The 21,470-nt window shown below is 34.9% G+C and overlaps 1 protein-coding gene across 4 annotated transcripts in view; it reads right to left on the bottom strand.

The window, feature by feature from the left end:
• CNTN1 (contactin 1) overlaps window positions 1-21,470 on the bottom strand; it is a 379,977-nt gene that overhangs the window by 299,115 nt on the left and 59,392 nt on the right. For 2 of the 4 annotated variants that reach the window (XM_011537926.4, XM_024448843.2), the window contains exon 2: window positions 10,103-10,205. The exons of the other annotated variants lie outside the window; for them this stretch is intronic. The gene's annotated coding sequence lies outside the window, so the exon portion shown is untranslated. The remainder of the gene's footprint in view (window positions 1-10,102; window positions 10,206-21,470) is intronic. 4 annotated transcript variants of the gene reach the window in all.

The following is a 21,470-nucleotide window of genomic DNA, read 5'->3' as shown; positions in this document are numbered from 1 at the left end:
TGCCAAGCCAGTCAGAGCAGAAAAGGAGTAGGCTACAGGCTTACATAGAGTGTTTTATCAGCACTTTGTCTCATAAAACAAATATGGAATTCAGTTGTCTTTAACTCAGGTATTAATTTTTATGGAGTTTAAACTTATTTGAAGGTGTTATTTGACAGAAACATTAATATTAGAGTCAACATATGGTGGATATATTGCATGAATTTTTAAAAGAACTAATATATCAACCAAAGCAAAGTTTATACACATTTGCCTATCTAAGATTAGTTACAAAAGTTTGGAATATATGTATATCCAATGTGCGTATATCCAATCCACGATATATATTCGCACACACGATATGTATACTTCTTTTCCACTTACCTGAGCTTGACACAGTGCATTTTAGTTCCACTTCCCATAGAAATTAACAGCATGTGAAGTGGCAATTTTAATGGGGTCTACAATCTTTTTAGTCTCACTGTCCCCATGCTAATGAAGCCCTTCTTTCTATTGCTTAGACAATTACAACAACTTTTTAATTAGCCTCCTTTTCCAGTTTATCTGGCGCATTGATTCCAGAGAAACATTCTTATGTCACAGCCATAATAATCTGATTGTCCTGTTAAGATATATTCAATGCCTTCCCAACATCAGCTCAATATTCATTTTGAAATTATCAAGGTACAGAATGATACTTATATTTATTTTTCATAAGCCTAAATACTCAACTTACAGTATTGAATTACTGGGTAAGAGAAAACATGGCAAAAATTGTACAGGTATAGGTATAAAGTTAATCTTTCAAACTTATAACGCTGTGGCAAGTATTAATATCTCCCCTCTATTTTGCTTCTTCTTAGTTTTAATACCAGATTAGATTTTAATTCTTTATTCTCTGGCTTTAACTTCTCATATTATAATTAAAATTCCTCTAGGTAACTTACTATGGAAGTCATCTATTACATTGTGATAAGACACAATATGTGATGACAAACAAATGAGCGTGATTGCTTCAGCCAAAGAAAGTTCATGTTCTTTTTGCTTTTTACTTGTACCACATGGATAAAAAATAATCTATCTTTAAAGCACAAATACTTGAAGGCAATTTAGAAACAACTTTATTCCGAATTATGTGAATAATTCACAATTCCATATAACATCTGCAGTATATTATTTTGCAGATAAGAAATAAATATGAGAAAAAAGTTTATATGAAGGGTTGGAGGTGAAGCCAAAATTAGTATTCCAGTATCTGGATAACCAGATTTCTCCTCCAGTAAATTTACTTGACCATATAAAGTTACAAGCATAATTTTCTGAGAAATCTAAGGAGCCAGGAGCCCTGGAGACTTAGATTCTAATCCTCCTCTGCCACTTGCCATGTGTTCTGTCCAAATTGCTATGTGTGTATTTCCCTCGGCATAGCATTAAGGAAGAGGGTGCAGATCAAGACCATTTAAATTGTCTTTTAAACAAAAATTAAAAATCATATAAAATTGATATTATTAAATAATTAGTATTACCAAATAATTATAATAGATCTCATATTTTATTTTTTGGACACCTCATAAATACACCACCCACCCTAACCAATTTTACAACTGGCCGTTCTCCTTGGGTAGGGCCATAGGCAACCCACAGCTTATAGGTGCCTATTGTGCTTATTAATTCTGCAGCTCAGTTGCTCATGAAAGCAGCAATACATATCTTTCCCACTTATTTACACTATCATTGACTAATCCTGAATTGAGGACTTTCTGCATCAGCACAGATTAGATAAATAGTCAGGTTTCCTCTGTCTGGGCTGTCTAAATAAGAACATATCCCTCTTAAATATATAGAGTTTCCCATATCTAGCAGAATATTTGCAAGAACAACATTATAAAAGAAATAAATAACACTAGACATTGACTTTATTTTACTTCAAAATTAAGCTTCTCGGCAAATTATCCTAAAGCCAAAGTAAAAAATATACATAGTGACCATTCATGGAAAGAATACAGGATGACAGACTGATATGAAGAAAAGAATTTTAGTTTGCAAGCCTGAGAAATGGTTCTAGCCCAGATTCTAATACTCTCTGAGTGTGATCCTAATTCAACAAGCTTTCACAAGCCTCAATCTTTTCTCTAATTGTAGCAGAATTAAATTTATGTCTAATGTGATTTCTTATTAGAATATTCTAAAAGTTTCATGAGATCCTATTGAATTTATTTCCTGGGTTTCTCTTAGAGCAGGCTTCTTTAGTACATGGACAGACTATAATTATGAACAAATGAAAATGCACTGAGGTTTCTGACTCAATAAGCAAAGCAAGACTCAGCTCACAGGATTGGAAAACAATGAATTAAAATTGAAACACTAATAAGGGAGTTTCCACCTCATTAGTTTCATAATGCACCCGCCCCTGCTTATTTCATTGTCACTAGTAAAATGTAATAGCTTCATATTTTATATTTATTATTTTGCATATACCATGTGCTTTAGACTATCCAATAAAGTTCACGTAACAGAAAAAGCATGAATCAAGTCAGGCCAGTCTCAGTCTCTTGCACAATCTCTGATCATCCCCTCTTTATACACATTTTAGAAATATTTGTGATTATATTTTTGTTAATGGCATATTATATGTTAAGCTTTATGTATTCCTTATATGGCATCTAGACTCTAAAATTCCTATTTGAACCCAATATGTGAATTGGTATAGGCTATATATACACCCTTTACTAATTCTTTTCATGGCTTCAATACCTAAAGCATTGAAAATACACACATTCACACACATGCACATATACACACATCCATGCATATGAAAATCTAATGGCTGTATTTTAACAAAAGTTTACCATAGAAATGTTCTGATTCCATTTATATATGCTTTATTACTGAAAATTTTATTATTCTAGTGCTAGTTTTATTTCCAGTTCCAGATAATATTGCATCTAAGTTGGCCCTTTAGAAAAGACTCAAAGAGATTTTAATGATTTCCTCTGAAAATTTTCTGAATGCAACCCTGGGCCTGAGGGCTGTTCTTTCTCTGGATCACTGATTTGGTGAATGCCTCTCCAGAATAACTGAGGTTACAAAGACTGCCAATTTATTCTCCAAGGAACCCCCTCTTTCCAGGTAACAGTGGCATACTCTGAGGCGCTAAAAAAAGTTGATTGCTTTATAAAGAGGGATTTGGTAGTATTTAACAAAATACAAAGCTTGGCATGACTAAGGCTATAGAGCTCCTCCAATCTCAATAGGGTTACAGTTTTTGTTTCACTACCTGTCAAAAGAACACTGTGCCTGAGTGCAAAACAACCTAACAGAACTCTCTTCTCACTTCTCTGCAACAGAGTTCATAGGCCCTTAGGTCTTCTCCTCTCTACATATGTTTCCCGTTTTTTATTTTTAATAATGTTCTGTTAGAGATATTTACACATAACTAATTACTGGGCCAAGGATGAAACCTTTCCTAGAGGTATATTTCTATAAATATTACAATTTATTATTGCCTTTAAAATATCTAAACAGTACAGGGCCAGGACCAGGATGAAACAATAAGGCACTTGCCTCAGGTGCAAAATTTAAGGGAACTCCAAAAAAAATCCCTAATAAAGATAAATAATATTTTAATGCAATATCCTAAAGCAGCAAAATTGATGCAAAAATTCATGATGAACAAAACACAAAAATTTTAAATGAAGACAAGTTCCTATGCACTGTATCTAACTAAATAAGCCCTCACATTGCTGGTTGTTTCCTCTTACACTGGGTTAATTGAAACATACTAGAGTTCAGTTCATAAATGTCAGAATAAATATCATTAAACACCAAATCTATAATGTATTTATTTTTTTCTCCTGTATAAATTGAATTTTAATTGTTGGCCATGGGCAAACACAAGATGCACTTCATAGTCTGCTCTTGTTTCCAAAATAATTACAATTGGCTATGATATTTAATAACATTAACATCATGTTTATCAGAAGATTGAATTTAGTGCAATGTTATTCTTCCCCTCCCACTAATAAAAATCAATTGCTCATGTGTTTCAGAAAAAAAGATATATTGTTTACAACTACTAAAATTCATCTTCATAGAATTATTCTGCTTATTTTTATTTTATGTTTTTTTTAAAGCATGTTGAATCTAGGAATGAAAATAACAATAATGAATACTTTATAATTCCACACAGATGCACTATGGTATATCTGACTTTGTAATTTGCAATAATGAATTGCCACTAGAAAGCAATTATACCCACTCAGACCTTCTGTAGACCCTGCTTTGGGATGATTGGTTCATGCTGATCATCACAGCACACTGTTTTGGGGACACCACCAGAGTTTGAAAGAACATGTAAACATATATGTTTATATATGAACATATGCAATAACATAAAAATAAAAGATTCTTATGTATAATAAAATAAAAATAAATAGTCCTTGATTGCACATAAGAATAAACTTACTATTTAAAATTTGAGAAAATGTACACAAGGGACTCACTAGAGATTATTTCTTGCTCAAACTCCTCTTCCTTGTCTGTTTCTCACTTTGCATTCAGAGAAGTCAGCCTTTCAGCTGACCTAATGAAAACATTGTTGTAAAAATGAGAGGCCAACCTGTGTGCAGTTGCAATTCAGCCAGAAAGAATGCTAATTCTTGGCTTCAGTACGTTGTTTAAAGGAATTAAAGGCTTTTCTGTGGCATGGAACACGGTGATCAGCCAGGAACTGTTAGAGATGAAAATAACCTTGCTTTGTTATAACCCAAAAAGTGTAGTACTTTTTCAGTTTCATACAAGATGCTTACTAGTGCCTAGTTGAGAAAAAGACAGAGGGTTAGGAAAAGATGGATCACGTCTTGGCCATTTTCTATAAAGGATATGATTTCCTAATTAGTGTGTGCTTATAAGGGATTTGTAAAAGCAGTACAAACAGGTGTTTTAACAAAAGTACTGACATGGCTTTGAAATTGCCCGGGTATGGACAAAGATCTGCGGGCTCGCGGTGGAGGAACCAACTTGAGGGCCCCTCAACCCTTACCAGCTACGTGACCTTCAATTCTGAGCTAAAGTGTCTTTTTCCATGAAATAACATTACTGACATCCACTTCAGAGAATTGTGGTAACAATTAAGTAACACAGCAACTATTAATAATTTGTAAATTATAAACTGTAATACAAATGTTGTAAAGGAATTTAAAGGATACATCGAGAATATGAGTAACGTTGTAAAGCCAATCTCCATTTGTACTGTGAAGAAATTTATTTTAAAATTATTTTTATCAGTCTATAAATGTATAAGCTTTAGAAGTATATCAGTATAGAAATGATCAGTCTTTAGAAGTATAACTGATAAAATATTGCAACAAAATCATTTATTACATTAAGATTTTCCTTTTTGGGAATACAAAGTATTAAAGAAACATTAATGGGCCTTATAATTTACTAGGTTAGAAAAGTCAATTGTTTAAGGAAAACACTTTATTTTTACTTACTAAAATATAAATTAATAAGAAAAGTGGAAAGAAAATTATCTCAGTTTGATAACTTTTCAAGTAGTATTTAAGTAACATATAAAGAAAGGTCAGTAGACCCGGGAGGTGGAGCTTGCAGTGAGCCGAGATCGCTCCACTGCACTCCAGCCTGGGCGACAGAGCAAGACGCCGTCTCAAACAAACAAACAAACAAACAAACAAACAAACAAACAAAAAAAGGGCCAGGAGCCGTGGCTCATGCCTGTAATCCCAGCACTTTGGGAGGCCAAGGCGGGCGGATCAAGAGGTCAGGAGATCGAGATCATCCTGGCTAACACGGTGAAACCCCATCTCTACTAAAAATACAGAAAATTAGCTGGGCGAGGTGGTGCACGCCTGTAGTCCCAGCTACTCGGGAGGCTGGGGCAGGAGAATGGGGTGAACCCGGGAGGCAGAGCTTGCAGTGAGCCGAGATCGTGCCACTGCACTCCAGCCTGGGCGACAGAGCGAGACTCCGTCTCAAAAAAAAAAAAAAAAAAAAAAGGAAAGGTCAGCAGAAATAAGATAATTCAATTATTAAGAACTAATTAAGAAGTAAACATCTTATATCATAGTATTATTGACCCCTTGACCCCTAGTAATTTTCAGACCAAGGAGAGACTATGTAAAATAAATTGGAAATTTGAAATTTCTAAATACTCTCCTTGATCATATTAAAAATATATATTTCCTTGAATCATTACATTTGTTTAAAGTAACTTTTCATTACTATAATGTTCATTATTATTAACCCATGATTCTCAAATCTATCTCCATTCCCAATCTCTCTTCTGAAGTCCAGATTTCTATTTTCAGTTTTATACTGGACATTATACTTGAATATTTCCCATAGACCCCTAAAATTTAACCTGTTCAAAAATAAATTCAACATCTCCCACAGGCTCACATCTGCTCTGTCCATATATTCCTGTCTGATTGAGAAGCACCACTATCCACACAGTGACTCACATCTAAAAGGTGGCAGTCACAACCTTGCCTGACCTCAGACCCAACTGATTGGTCTCCAGGTTAAATGTATTCTATTTCTAAAATATCTGCCATTATTTATCATTGCATCTCTCTACTGTCCAACATCTCTTCTCATCCTCCACCACCACCTGTCCTTCCATGTATCACACTCTAATATATTCTATTACAATTCCACAGGGAAACACCCTATTGGGGTGCATCAGATAAGTTGATCAAGAGAATCCACCCAAGGATTACAGGATATTTAGTACCCTCCACCCCTTTTAAAGGCCAGTAACACCTAAAATTTGCAGGACCAAGCCCCATCCAATACATACACACATTTCTAATTATCTCAGAGGTGATGGTACAGTTCTCTGATTATTTCATTAAATGCTCTGCCTCTGAGCCTTTAGAGCACATTCTTCAATGCTTTTGAAATGCTGGAATGCTTTTTCTTTCTTTCTTTTTTTTTTTTTTTTTAAGACGGAGTTTCATTCCGTCACCCAGGCTGGAGTACAGTGGCATGATCTCAGCTCACTGAAACCACCACTTCCCGGGTTCAAGTGACTCTCCTGCCTCAGCTTCCCAAGTAGCTGGGATTACAGGCACATGTCACCATGCCGGCTAATTTTTGTATTTTTAGTAGAGATGGGGTTTCGCCATGATGGCCAGACTGATCTCGAACCCTTGACCTCAAGTGATCTGCGGGCCTCGGCCTCCCAAAGTGCTGGGACTACAGGCGTGAGCCACCGTGCCCAGCCTGGAATGCAATTTCCTCTAATGTTTGCCAAGAAAACCGTCAAGCACTTCTCAAGCCCCAGTCTTTCCTCCTCTTAGTTTCCCACAGTTAAAATAACCATAGGCATCTCCAGCTTCCACAACATTGGATATATCTTTTGCCCAGGACTTGTAAAATTTTGTTTTAGTTTGTTTTTGCATGTCTGATTCCCTCCAACACTATGAGCTCCATCAAAGCTTAAAACATCATTTGTTATCTTTGTGTCCCCAGTGACCTGTATACAGCAGGAGATTGATAAATGTGTGAATTTATTTATTCTTTCAGAATTAAACAATGTTTTAAATTTTCTATTGGCAAAAAATATGGGTGTTATACCATCTTTTGCCAACTATTCTTGTCAAGGTCATCAAAGGTCTTGGATTGTCAAAATCAATAGTCATTTTTCTGTTCTCATATTACTTCACCTTTTAGAAATATTTGACACAGTTAGCCACTGAACTCCATCTTAAAACACATTTTTTCCCTTGACTCTGTTAACCAAACTTATTATTTTCCTCTCACTTTCCTAAAGACTCATTCTTGTTCTCCTTTGCTTGTTCCTTTGCCTCTGTTCTATCTCTGAAGTTGAAATACATTAGGACTCTTCTCTAGCTAAATGCTCTGTCCAGGTGATACTATTAGACTCCCAAATCTGTGAATCAGCTTCCTATCCTTTCACTGAGCTCCAAACTTTTATACTGTACTCCTGGATTGACATCTCCACTTGTATGTCAAATGACATCTAAACTTCGCATGGCCAAATTTGACATATTACTCGAACCTGTTCCTTTCTGAGTTTTCCTCTCAGAAAAATGTCCTCATCATTCACACTGCAACTCAAGTCAAGCCACAAAGCAAGGATCTAGAGTTATTCTTGATTCCTTTATTTACCATATTCTGCATATATATCCATTATCAATCTTGTCAACAATATCCTCAATTAACCTAATATCCTTATATACATATATAAAATATATATTCTATATGACCTAATATATATAATATAAAATATTGTACCCAATTACTACAAAAACACATTATTTTCAAGTGCTTATGGAACATTTTACAAATATTTTTGTAAAGCAGACTCACAGATAAAATAAAATATGTTCTCTAATCTCAATGGAAATTTAATTTGAAATCATAAACCAAAAGATAACTAGAAAATCCCCAAATGTTGGTAAATTAAGCAATATGCTGCTAAACAATCAATGGTTCAAAGAAGAAATCCAACAATGCCTGGAGAGTATCTTCTCATGAAAGGTGGAATTCTAAGGGACATTGCTGAAATGCTTCTAAGCATATGGTTGTTCCTTCTTCTGACCAAGACAGTCTTACATTTTTCCCTCGACTTTATTAGAATTTAGGCAGGTTTCTTCCTAACAATAAGCCCCTGACTTCACTTTTCTCAGACCATTGCTTTTTTAAAACTTGCAATTGTGAGTTCTTTCTCTGCACTTTTGAGAAGTAAATCTTCTATACCAGGAAAGTCTTTCTCAAGGGCCTGGAGGCCATTTCTTTGAAATGTAGTCATCAAAAAAGATAGTATTAATACCTTTATCTACCAGTCTCTGTGGGAGAGTAGGAGCCTAACATCAATAAAAAACAATTAGAAAACACAGATGGCTTAATCAAATAGACAAACCTCTTTTCTTAATGTCCTTCAGTACTATTCCATTAGTTCATCTCAGCATTAGTTCATCTCAGCATTTTCTGCCTTTTGTTTCACTGGAGTTGAGGCTAATCTCTTTCCCCTACTGCAACAGTCTTTCTCCCATACTGCAATAGTCTTGAATAAAGTCTTCCTTGCCTGCTTAATCTGCCTGGTGCTATTGTTCTTTAACGTTCCTAACCCATAGCTTCCAGAAAATCCTTCAGGTAGATATTATGGTTCAATAAATAATCACATTTCTCCACACTCCCTCTATGGAAGGAGTACCCCTTCTATTAAGTTTGAATTTAGCCATGTGACTTGCTTCAGTTAATGGAAAGCATTTATGTGAACAGATGGAAATAAACCATCTCTAAACAGAGCCTTAAAAGTGTTTCCATGGTTTGGCTTGGCTCATGCTATTTCCGCCCCCATCTCCTACACCCCATGCTATAAGAAAAGTATTGTCCAGGTAGATATTGAGTCCCTAATGAGATATTCTGAGAGATCCCAGGCCTAGAGTCTGAAATCTGGAGCAGAGCTGCTACAGGAAATGTTCAGACCATTGAGTGGGAAATAAGTGTACTTAGAAGCCAATAAGATTTTGTGATTGTGAGGATAATTCAACATATTTTCAGTAAGTTCATTGAAATTCACTTTTCAATAAATTAGTCATGGATATTACATAGCTCTGAAGCCCCACTTTGTTTTCCTCATTTTATTCTGTGGCACCCTAGACAAAGACCCAAATACTTTAAATGGCCTACAAAGCCTTCTGTGGTGTATCCTCTTCTCCTTTCTTTAGCCTCACCTTCCTTTCATTTTCTTTCCTTTCTCTGTACACTAGCCACAGTGACATTCTTTCCATTTTCCTAATACAATGTGTTTCTTCCCTCTGCAAAACGTTTGTTCTTACTACATTTTTCCACTCTAGAATATTGTCAGCTGCACAAGCCCCTCACCCTTCATTTACTTACTAAATTTACTTAATAAATATATTACTTAACCTTCAGATCTCCCCTTAAATTCCTCCATCAGTGAACTCTTTCCTGACCTTTGCTCAAGATTTAAGTTTCCATTAATATGAAGATTTCTAAGCTCATTTTATTTGCCTACTGTCTTAGTCCATTTGGCACTGCCATAAAGGTGGCTGGGTAATTTATAAACAGTCTGGGTAATTTATAAAGAGAAGGAGTTTATTTGGCTCACAGTTTTGCGGGCTGTACAAGAAGCCTGGCACTAGCGTTTGCTTCTGGTCAGGGCCTCAGGAGACCTTTAATCATGGCAAAGGGGCTGCAGATTTGTCACATGGCTAGAAAGAGAGGAAGAGAAGTGAAGATGGGCACTGTGCTCTTTTAAACAACCTGCTCTCACATGAACTAACAGAGTGAGAATTCAATCGTTACCGCAGGGAGGGCGCCAAGCTATTCATGAGGGCTCCTGCCCCATGACCCAAACACTTCCCACTAGGCCCCACCTCCAACACTGGGGACCAGATTTCAACATGAGATTTGGAGGGGACAAATATTCAAACTATATTTTAATTTCAGAGCACCCATTTCACTTTTTAATTACATGCTTTCATTATTATTATTATTTACTCAATTCCTGTCTTAGCCACTATAATGTAAGCCACAAAAGAAAAGGGGCCATGTATAATTTTACTCATCATTTTATCTGTGGTACCTGCACACAGTATAGCACAAAGCAGGGACTCAGACAGCTCTTATGCATGAGTGAAGATTCAAACCCAGCTGCTAGGACACAAGTCCTTTCCTTCTTTTACTATTCTATGCAGTAGAACGTTTATCCTCATATATTATATAAAGATGTTTACTTTTTTTTGTTTTGAACTTATGCTCAGTTTTTATGATAGTACATATTACTTATCTAAAATTTTGTAAAGTTTTTGCCTAAATATACTGTTATTTTGGATAAGTTCTGACTATTTCTCTGAATTCTTAAGAACATTTAAATGTTAATCTGTTTTCTAAGGTGATGACTTCTATTTGTCCATGGACCAATTCCTTGTCTTATCATCATGATTTTTACTCACAGTTAAAGAGTATATCTAGCAGTTCGTCACTGATGAAGGTGTTCTACAAAATGTCAAAGGTTTGCCCTAAATCCCTCTTGTGGTAGTTTAAGGCTATTTCTACTTTGGACATTGTACTTGTAAATGGCTATATTAGAGGTGATCTTTGTATATGTGTAACAGTAAAATTCATAATGTTTGTACTTACTATTCCTTTGAAAGAAAATAAAGTCTAGCTTTCTTTAAATATATACTTACTTGTAGTTACCCAGAGATTAATATATTTGAGGCTGATTGTGAATTAAAGAGGAACAAGTGTATACAGTCTGGAATGTAAAGACCTTGTGATGTCTGTGCTAGTCAATGTGTATTGTAGAAGTGTCCCTAACAAAAACAGAGAAATCAGTTATCCTGCATTGCCATTCAGCTTAAATTAGGATTGTATTGTAAAAGTGTCCCTAACAAAAACAGAGAAATCAGTTATCCTGCATTGCCATTCAGCTTAAATTAGGATTCTGATATTAATTTGAAAGTTTAATTAAGCTTAGAAGTTTAGCCTATTCTAAAGTAACATTTTAATTTCTCTATGATTCTAGCCTTTGATGATTGTTCACTGAAGACACAAACAGTCCCCAAAATCCAAGTGAACAGTAAAACAGACAGGCAAACAAAAAACCCTCTAACTATGGAGAAAAAAATGTTAAATTTAAAATAATACAAGTAAAATAACTGAAATATAAATACTCATACAAGCAACAGCTACCAACCAGTAGATTTTTAAAAAAACCTTACCTTTTAAAGTATTTAAGCTGATCTATCTAAGAAATAAAATAAAACCAAAATATGTTTTAATGCCACATGTCCACAACCAAACTGAGAACCAGGAATCAAAACTGACTGAATCATATATTTAAAAATAGTTTACTAAAACTTTTCAAGAAAAAGAAAAGGAAACCGCAGATTAAAGAACAGAAGTGCTCCAGTGAAGATTGGTAGAAGAACAAATCTTATTATAATTTCCCAAGTCTAGGATGCTTTTAAAAGATACCCACTACTATTTTATGAGAAAATTAAATGGTGTCTAACTAAAAAGAAGTGTTACTACACTAAATTACTGAGTATGTTTTTCTAAAAATTGGTATAGATGAAAAATATTTAAAAATTGGAAGTCTTTAGATAAATCTGTTGACAACTCCATAGTACATGAATTAAGTCAGTATTTTCCAAACTGTATTTCACTTAGAGATTTTATCATGTTGATTTACAAATAGATTACCTATGAAATACATTTGTGAAATGCTACATGTATGATAATCTTCTCTGAAGATTATAATGCACATTTCCAGAAAACCTATTTAGTTTGACAAATCCATTTTTCTAAATTTTATTTGACAGAGTAATTTTTTTCCAAGGGAACAATTCAGTGTTCTGGAGCATATCATATAAAATTAAATTAAGTTAGGGGAACACAGGTAACATGGACTACATCCTTGGCCTTTATGATATCAAAGTGGAAGTGTGTGTGTGTGTGTGTGTGCATTATTTTGAAAGACCAACAATGTAAGTATGAACTATTTATTTTTTGAAGTTGTCACCTATAAGGGGATAAAAAAATAGAGTTCAGGGTGTGAGCTATCAACTAGATTTACTTAAATATAATTTGTTTTGTATTTTTTCATTGAACCATGTAAATATTTTGGGTAATTAGAAAATAAAATCCAATTTTCAATAAAAAGCTTTTAAAATCACAAAATAATATGAAATAAATAGATCCAAATGTGTATCCAGTCACTGGTATAGCCACACTGCGAACAGCAGTTCCAAGCGATTTTAAAACACAATAATTTGCACACGCCTAGTGAGCTATAATCTAAGGAACTGCAAAAGAACTGCAAAAAAAAAAACATTAACTGCTGTCAATAATAATAATGTTGGTAGCAGTGTTTGTATTGTAGATATTCTTGTGTGTTTTTTATAGGATAAAACAAATGTGTAATTTTGTGATATAAATTTGTGATATAATTTTGATATATAGTCATCTCTTGTTTTCATGACACATGGGATGCTTCACATGGAAGAAGGATGTACAGATGTAAGAAGTAATTAAAAATTCAGAAACCTTAAATTTCCATTGTAAAAGCCAGTATGAACTGAAAATATATTTTATATTCAAAATCAAAACAAAACATATTTCCTATACTGTCAACTAAAAAAAGCAAAAAACCAAAACAAACCCAGCTTGGTAGCAATAAAATCCCCTGGCACCCAGATTAAGGGCTTGCAATACTAAGGCAATCAGAACTTGGAGGAGTGGTTGATTCCAGATCTAAGGTATTAAAGTATGTCCCTGACCAACAGGCAAAGTGGACCCCCGTGGCTAACTGAGATGTCTATATTTAAGACAGAACCTGGTGGCCATAGCTGGGTAAGGGAGTGGTCACCTACTCTTGTGTTCTCAGAAAGACGTTATAAAAGTATCACAGGACTTCCTTTCTATAATAAAGTCAAATCAGTTCCTGTTGTAGGTGCCAAGATAAGTTGTTGCCTGATTCACTCCCCAGTCCCACAGTGGCTTTTTGAAAAAAAAAAAAAAAAAAATATCTGGGCCAAGTGAGGTGGCTCACGCCTGTAATCCCAGCACTTTGGGAGGCCGAGGTGGGCAGATTTCTTGAGCCCAGGAGTTCAAGACCAGCCTGGGCAACACAGCAAGACCACATCTCTACAAAAAAAATACAGAAAATTAGCCAGGTATGATGGTGGGTGCCTGTGGTCCTAGCTACTTGGGATGCTCAGGTGGGAGGATCACTTGAGCCTGGGAGGTAGAAGATGCAGTGTGCCATAAGCATTTCACCGCATTCCAGCCTAGGTGACAGAGTGAGACCCTGTCTAAAAAAGAGAAAGAGAAAGGGAAAGGGAAGGGAAGGGAAGAAGGGGAGGGGAGGGGAGGGAGAAAGAAAGAGAAAAAAAGGAAAAAGAAAAAGACAAAATACCTAACAGAGACCTCTGGTTTTGGGCTTGGAAACCAACCAATCAGAGCTCCCTTGACCCAGCCAATCAGGGCTCAGTTCTATCAACCAATCAGAACTAAGCAAGTTTCAATCCTCCATTTGTATAAACAAACCTTATTGGGAAACTGAGCAGGAACTTTTGCTATAAAACCTGAATACTTGACCAGGCACAGTGGCTCATGCCTGTAATTCCAGCACATTGGGAGGCTGAGGCAAATGGATCACTTAAGGTCAGGAGTTTGAGACTAGCCTGACCAACATGATGAAACCTCCATCTCTACTAAAAATACAAAATTAGCCAGGCATGGTGATACATGCCTGTAATCCCAGCTACTTGGGAGGCCGAGGCAGGAGAATAGCTTGAATCCAGAGTGGGAGGTTGCAGTGAGCTGAGGTCGGGCCATTGCACTCCAGCCTGGGCAACAAGAGTGAAACTCCATCTCAAAAACAAACAAAAAAAAGAATATATATATATATATAAAACCTGAATCCTCTCTCTATTGTCTGGAATGTACTTTCATTACAAGAAGGCTGTGTCTCCCCTGGTTTGCAAACTCTTCACTGGAATAAAGTCTCTTTCCTTCAGATTTGTTTTTTGAGAACTTTTGTTCAAAGAGGTAAGTTATATATAAGTGGGTGCGGTATAAAAAAATCAGATTCATCTTGAGTTGATAACTGTTGAAACTGGATTATGTATGTGTAGCAGTTCATTATACTCTTTCATCTAGTTTTGTACATATTTGAAGTTTTTCATAATAAAAACAAAATAAAACAAAAACAGATTACACAGTTTGCTGGGATGCAAAATATTACAATGTGGAGTGTCCATAAATGTTTCAAAATCTACAGAAGACACAATTTTTAAGCAGATATAAAGAATTACATTGTAACAGGAAATTAAATAACCTTTGCAATTATTGTCTCAGTAATTTTTACTTCGAAAAAGACCAAGGTCTTTCAGTTGGTAGGTGTTCAGTAACTGGTTGCAGAATTTAAAATGGTGACATATTTCTCTTCAAATCTCCTATAAAATTCTCAGAACACCAACAAATTAAAAAAAAAACACTTTGTTTTGAACTTCAAATATTCTGAATATATAAATAGAAATCAACTACTGTATAAAATATTCATAACACCAGAGGCTTAAAAATGTAAATTATTAGAAACATTAAATCACTGATGTGATTACAGAATGGCATTTTATAAAAATAGGGCAGCAACAATTAGAATCATACTAGATAATAACTATCTACAATGTGGAAAAAATTTCTTTCTCTAAGGCACCAAATTAAAGTGTAAGAAGATGAATAACACATATTTAGTCCATTAAAGAGAAAAGAAGGGGAGACAGATTTACATTTGTTATCTTAATTAATCCTCGACAACACCAAGTGCTCATTCTACTATACCATGCTATTTCTACTTTTCTATATATAAACTAAATAGCATGTTAATTACCTAATATGTCTGCTTATTGTCAAGCCATAAGAAAATAAATCTATAGTACTTTGTATTTAGCACAAAAATATAAAGATATTTGATTATTTTAATAAAGAAAGACTAACTTAAGATAGATAAATGGTTTTATTTTTTTCTTACCAATGAGATTTTCAATTCATGCTCACCCTGGTTTCTAAAAGAATGTGCAAAGAATTCTGAAAGAATGTCATAGTGAGGGGAGCAACAAGGTTATCCTTGTGTGGTGAAAATCTATGGAAGGTTGTCATTGGCTGAGCAAAACAGCATAGTGGAAGCTGAAACCAATACATCAAAAGATAACTGTACTTCAAGTTCATTAACACACTGGTGAGAATTGCTTGAAGTAATAACTGACAATATCTGTGAGTCCTAACTTTGAAAACTTAACTATCACAGAGCAAGCCTTACCTTTATACTTTATTTCTTCTTATATTTTAATTCATGTTTCTTGAGGAAAGGGTCAATAATAGGAATTCTTATAAGAATGAATGCTCTGAGCTAGAGGATGCTTTAAAAAATATATTTGGATTCTGAAAGAAGTCACAGGAATGTGGAAGATAATATTTCATCTATGAAATAGACTGAAAGTTTTGTCCTTCCCAAACTCAAATATTGAAACCCTCACCCCTAACGTGATGGCATTAGGAGGTGGGGCCTTTGGAAAATAATTATACTTAGATGAGATCATAGGAGTAGAACCCCCATGATGGGATTAATATACTTAGAAGGAGAGAAAGAGACCAGAGTCACTCTTTCTTTGCCATATGAGGTTACAGCAAGAAGGCTGACGTTTGCAAATCAGGAAGAGAGCCCTCACCAGGAACTGCATTATTGTTTAAGCCACTCAGTCTATGTAATTTTATTATTGCAGCCCAAGCTGACCAAGATATCCTATAAATATTCATTCATTCAATCAAAAACTAATTATTGACTGATTACTATGTGGCTGTAATCACAAGTCTGGGAACTAGCCACACAAAAAGACTAGCAAAACTGTTTTCAAAATATATCCCCTAAGAAGGAGTGTCCAGTATATAAAAACAAATAAATAAACAAGATAGTTTCAGTTAGTTATAAGTGCTGTTAAAATATAAAGCAAGCAACAAAGCAGAGAATGACTTGAGGGACTACTTCAAATTGGATGATGACGCGAAGCCTCTTGGAGGTGACATGTGAACAAAGAACTAATTAATAAAGAGGAGCAAACTATTTGCAAGATCTAGGGGAAAGCATTCTAGGCTCGGGGAACACCTAGTGCAAATGCCTTTCCTAACAACCCTCAGCTTTGAAACTCATGGCCTTTGACGGTACCATCCAGTACTGCTTCTTGTTGCAATTACCTACTAGTTTCTCAGACATCTTTGCCCACTGTCACAATCTCCAATGCTAATTTTATTGTAATTTTTGGCAGTTCCAATAGCTATACACATGGCTCCTCTGAAACACTGACCTTTTAGTTATTGACTTCCTATCATTTGGTAATTTTGTCATCCATGCCACTGCAGCTCCTATGGTTACACCAATGAGGACACTCCCCTTATAATCTCAATTTCTAGCACTGTACTCTCTGACTATGGCCTTCTTTCTTCCCAGATCACTCGCTCTAAGTTCCTTAACTCCAATGGTTCTACCACACCAAGACCTAAAATCCATAGATCCTACTACCTGCTCCCTCACCCCCAACTCATGCTCTTACTATTTTCCTTATTTGGCTTAAATTTCATGACACATTACAAAAATCACTTCATTATATAAAACTCCCTTGCTCCTCTCCTGCTTCACTGTATCCTTGACTGGATCCAACCCTAGTTAAAATCAGTTACACCTTTTCTGTGCTTGCAACTATGTATCTAAATGTGGCTAGAAAAACAAAACACACCATATAATCATACAGAATGTTTTCACTTTACATTTATGAACAATCTCCTGAAATTGAACCAACCAAACCATTCATTGCTCCCATTCTTCTAGATTAGTATTTCAAACTTAACTCTTCTCTCCTTAAGCTATTAATATCCCTTCCCTCAATTCCACCCTTACTAGGCAAGTACCATATAATAATAAGGGTCTACAAGACTGTATTCTACAAGATCAAAACTTCCCCCTTATACATAAGATCTTATCCCTCTCACCTACTCTAATCACTCCAGGAAGTCTCCCCTTTTTAATTTTTGTAGAGACAGGGTCTCGCTCTGTCACTGAGGTTTAAATGCACTGGTACAATCATAGCTCACTGTAATCTCAAACTCCTAGGCTCAAGGTATCCTCTGCTTCCACCTCCCAAGTAGTTGGGATTGTAACACCAAGCCCAGCTGTTTTTTTTTAATTAAATATTTTGTAGAGAGAGGATCTCACTATGTTCCCTAGCTGATCCCAAACTCCCGGCCCCAAGCAATCCTCCCACCTTAGCCTCCCAAAGTACTAGGATTATCATGTGACCCGCCTTGCCCAGCTCTTTTTCTTCTTGTATCATCAATGTTTTCCAACACCCATTGTTAATTCCTATCAACACACAAACTTGCTATTACTTCTCTTTTCCCAGATAAGTTTCTTTGGAAGAATAAATAAATAAGAAATAAGAAAATGAAAAAGTATTTTTATTTCTGGAATAAATAAATAAATAGTAAGAACAACCAAGCCATTTCTTTTTCTTTTCTTCTTTTTTTTTTTTTTTTTTTTTTTTTTTTTTTTTTTTGAGGTGGGGTCTCACTCTGTTGCCCTGGATGGAATGCAGTGGAAAAATCATGGTTCACTGCAGCTTCAACTTCCTAGGCCCAAGCAATCCTCCCACCTCAGCCTCTCAAGTAACTGGGACTACAGGCATATGCCACCATGCCCAGCTAACTTTTTTATGTTTTGTAGAGGCAGAGTCTCACTATGTTGTCCAGGCTGATCATGACTGGGCTCCAGGGATATTCCACCTTGGCTTCCCAAAGTGCCGGGATTACAGCACCCAGCCTCAACCAAGAAATTTTTTTAAATGTATAGAAATCAGTTTTAAAATATGAGGACATATTATAAAGCAACAACGATATTGAAAATGGTACTAATAGAAGGCATAGAGTTCTTTTTCACAGAGTAGAGGTACAGAAAGGGACCTAATAATAGATGTGATAAAGCAAAAAAGAATACAGGTAGATTTAATTTTTAAAACTATGAACATAACATTGACAACTGGAGAAAAAACTTGCAACATAAATACTAGAAAAAGAGAAAATATCATCAAAATACAAATAACTGTTAGAAATGATTGCTCAAAAGAAAAACCTGGCAATGCATGATTAAGAAATGCAAAAGAAGATACAGTTGCTCTCTGTATATGCGCTTTCCACATCCACAGATTCAAACAACTGTGGATAAAAAAGGATTTTTCAAAACCATTAAAAAACAATGCAACAGTAAAAAAAAGTACAAATAAAAAAATACAGTATAACAACTATTTACATAGCATTTACATTGTATTAGGAATTGTAAGTAATGTAGACATGATTTAAAGTATGCAGGAGAATGTGCATTGGTTATATGAAAATACCATGTCATTTCATAAAAGGGACTTGAACATTGTGAATTTTGATACCTGTAACGGTGCTGAAATCAATTTCCCTGTAGATACAAGGGATGACTATAGGGATAGCCAGTAGTATATGAAAGGTATTTAGCCTTGCCAATATATAATAATGTAAAACAAAACCAAAAAATGAGGTACTATTATGACTTATGTATTTAACTTATTTAAACATATATTATAATTTATCCTATATATGTGTATATGCACACACATCTATAGTGTACCAAATATTGTGAAGCATAGAAGAACATGAGGGCTTTCATACTGGTGGAATATCAACTGATAACTTTCTGAAGGTAATTTAACGATATGAAGCAAAGTTTAAAAAATTTGATTTTCATAACAGTGAATAATAGAAACAATATAAATTTCCAACAATAGGAGATGAATTAAATTATAATATATCCTTATATTAAAATGTTATAGAACAATTAAAATTCATAATATTGAAGAACATGTAAGCATATTTGATGTTGCTCCAGACACTGTCAAATCTATGTGCAGGTTATAAAATAGTGTGAAATATATAGTCTCAATTTTCTAAAATATCTGTTACAAAAAATGCATCAGAAAAATAATGATATGGTTTGGCTATGTCGCCACCCAAATCTCATCTTGAATTGTAGTTCCCATAATCCCCACGTGTTATAGGAGGGACCTATTGGGAGGTAACTGAATCATGGGAGCAGTTACGTCCACGTTGCTCTCTGGATAGTGAGTGAGTTCTCACGAGATCTCATGGTTTTATAAGGGGCTTTTCCCCTCTTGCTTGGCACTTCTTCTTGCTGCCACCATGTGAAGAAGGACGTGTTTGCTTCCCCTTCCGCCATGATTGTGAGGCCTCCCCAGCCACGTGGAACTGTGAGTCTATTAAACCTCTTTTTTTCTTTATAAATTATCCAGTCTTGGGTATTTCTTCATAGCAGTATGAAAACTGACTAATAAAAATAATGATAAGATAGGAGAATAAAGAGAGTGGCTATTTCTGAGTCATGGAGTTATAGGTCATTGTAATTTTCTTCAGCATTTTCCTCTTTTTTATAGCAGTATATTCAGAAAGTTAAGAAAGCAACAAATAGTGAAGATGAAGAAGATGAAAAGGAAGGAGATGAGGAGGAGGGAAGAATAAGGTTTGCCTCTCTTCACTCCTTTTAGTGGGAATTGGTCAAAATTACTAGAGCTTCAGAGTATTCACATGGTTGCAGGCCCCTGCAAGGTAAAATTAACATGGCAGGATTGTGGTCAACCCCACTCTTTCCTCACCATAACTACCACTACCATATGTGAAGATATTTAATTATGAAAACCACCAAAGGCAATGACATATACTCTGGTAATGAAGGGATTCTAGGTTCTACATTCCAATCATGTAGCTTGGGCAGTCACAGAATATTTTTAAACTTCAGTTTTAATTATAACATAAATTGATTGAATGAGATAATCTCATTACCTTAGTACCTTAATTACCCGTTTGTTTTATTTAGTAATATTGAGGAAAATAAGGAGAAACAAATTCTGTTTTTATAAATCAAGGGTATCTAAAAAGAAAGTGTTCTAGAGTTTAAAATGTTATGTTTAAAATGTTTTTGTCTTTAACTTTTGTGAAACCATTGTAAAACATTAAGTAATAATCATCAAAATTATGGAAACTTCCTGGAATCAAGATTAGAATTATAAACAATATACTATACCGTAGAATTGTCTTATTTGAAGTTGGATAAAATAACCACTAGTTGAAGTTGACACCTGGATCACATTCATTAACATCAGCACTAAGGGGAGAATGTGAGGTAAGCCCGATCCTCTACGTAGATATTTTTTAAAAACAGACATTTTTTCAAAATCATATAAGGACAGTTTCTACCACTTAAAATGTTTTAATGCCTTTACATAATCGACATTCATTAAGGGTTTTCTAGAGCATATAAGGAAAGAACCTTAAAATCCCAAGGTTATAGTCTCTTGAGATTCTACTCAAGCAACAGAGTATTATTCAAAGGACAATGAATGTGCTACACACGTTGTAGTTCTGAAACAGTGAATTTAGGACAAGTTAAATTGCACCAAGGCATGGGCTAATAAACATCAAACAAAGCAGTCATTGTAAGCCAAGGCTCATCTATTATAAACACGTGACCATACAGGGCATAATAAAGCCTTTGTTTCTGTGTTAGTGCACAGTTGTCAAGGAGAATTATATATTCCAAATTTATTTTGTTAATGGCTCATAAAAAAACTTAATAAAATGTTTTGTAAATACTTTACAAATTTAAATTTAAGAATAAAAACATCAAGAAGATGAAAAAAATTCACTCCAGTAGAACTCAGATAAATACGAATAAATAATGATAATAAAAATGGCTTCAATTTGAGAACCACAAAATATGGGTCACAAGATTCTGAAGATGTGCTTTGTCAATTAGCACCTTCTTATAGTAAACGCTTTAATTTATGAGGCTCTTTAGAGACCATATAATTTCATCTGAC

This window comes from Homo sapiens, chromosome 12, assembly GCF_000001405.40.
Source record: "Homo sapiens chromosome 12, GRCh38.p14 Primary Assembly".
Lineage (NCBI taxonomy): Eukaryota > Metazoa > Chordata > Mammalia > Primates > Hominidae > Homo > Homo sapiens.
Note: the sequence above shows the minus strand (reverse complement) of the source record. Positions and strands in the feature narration are given on the sequence as shown.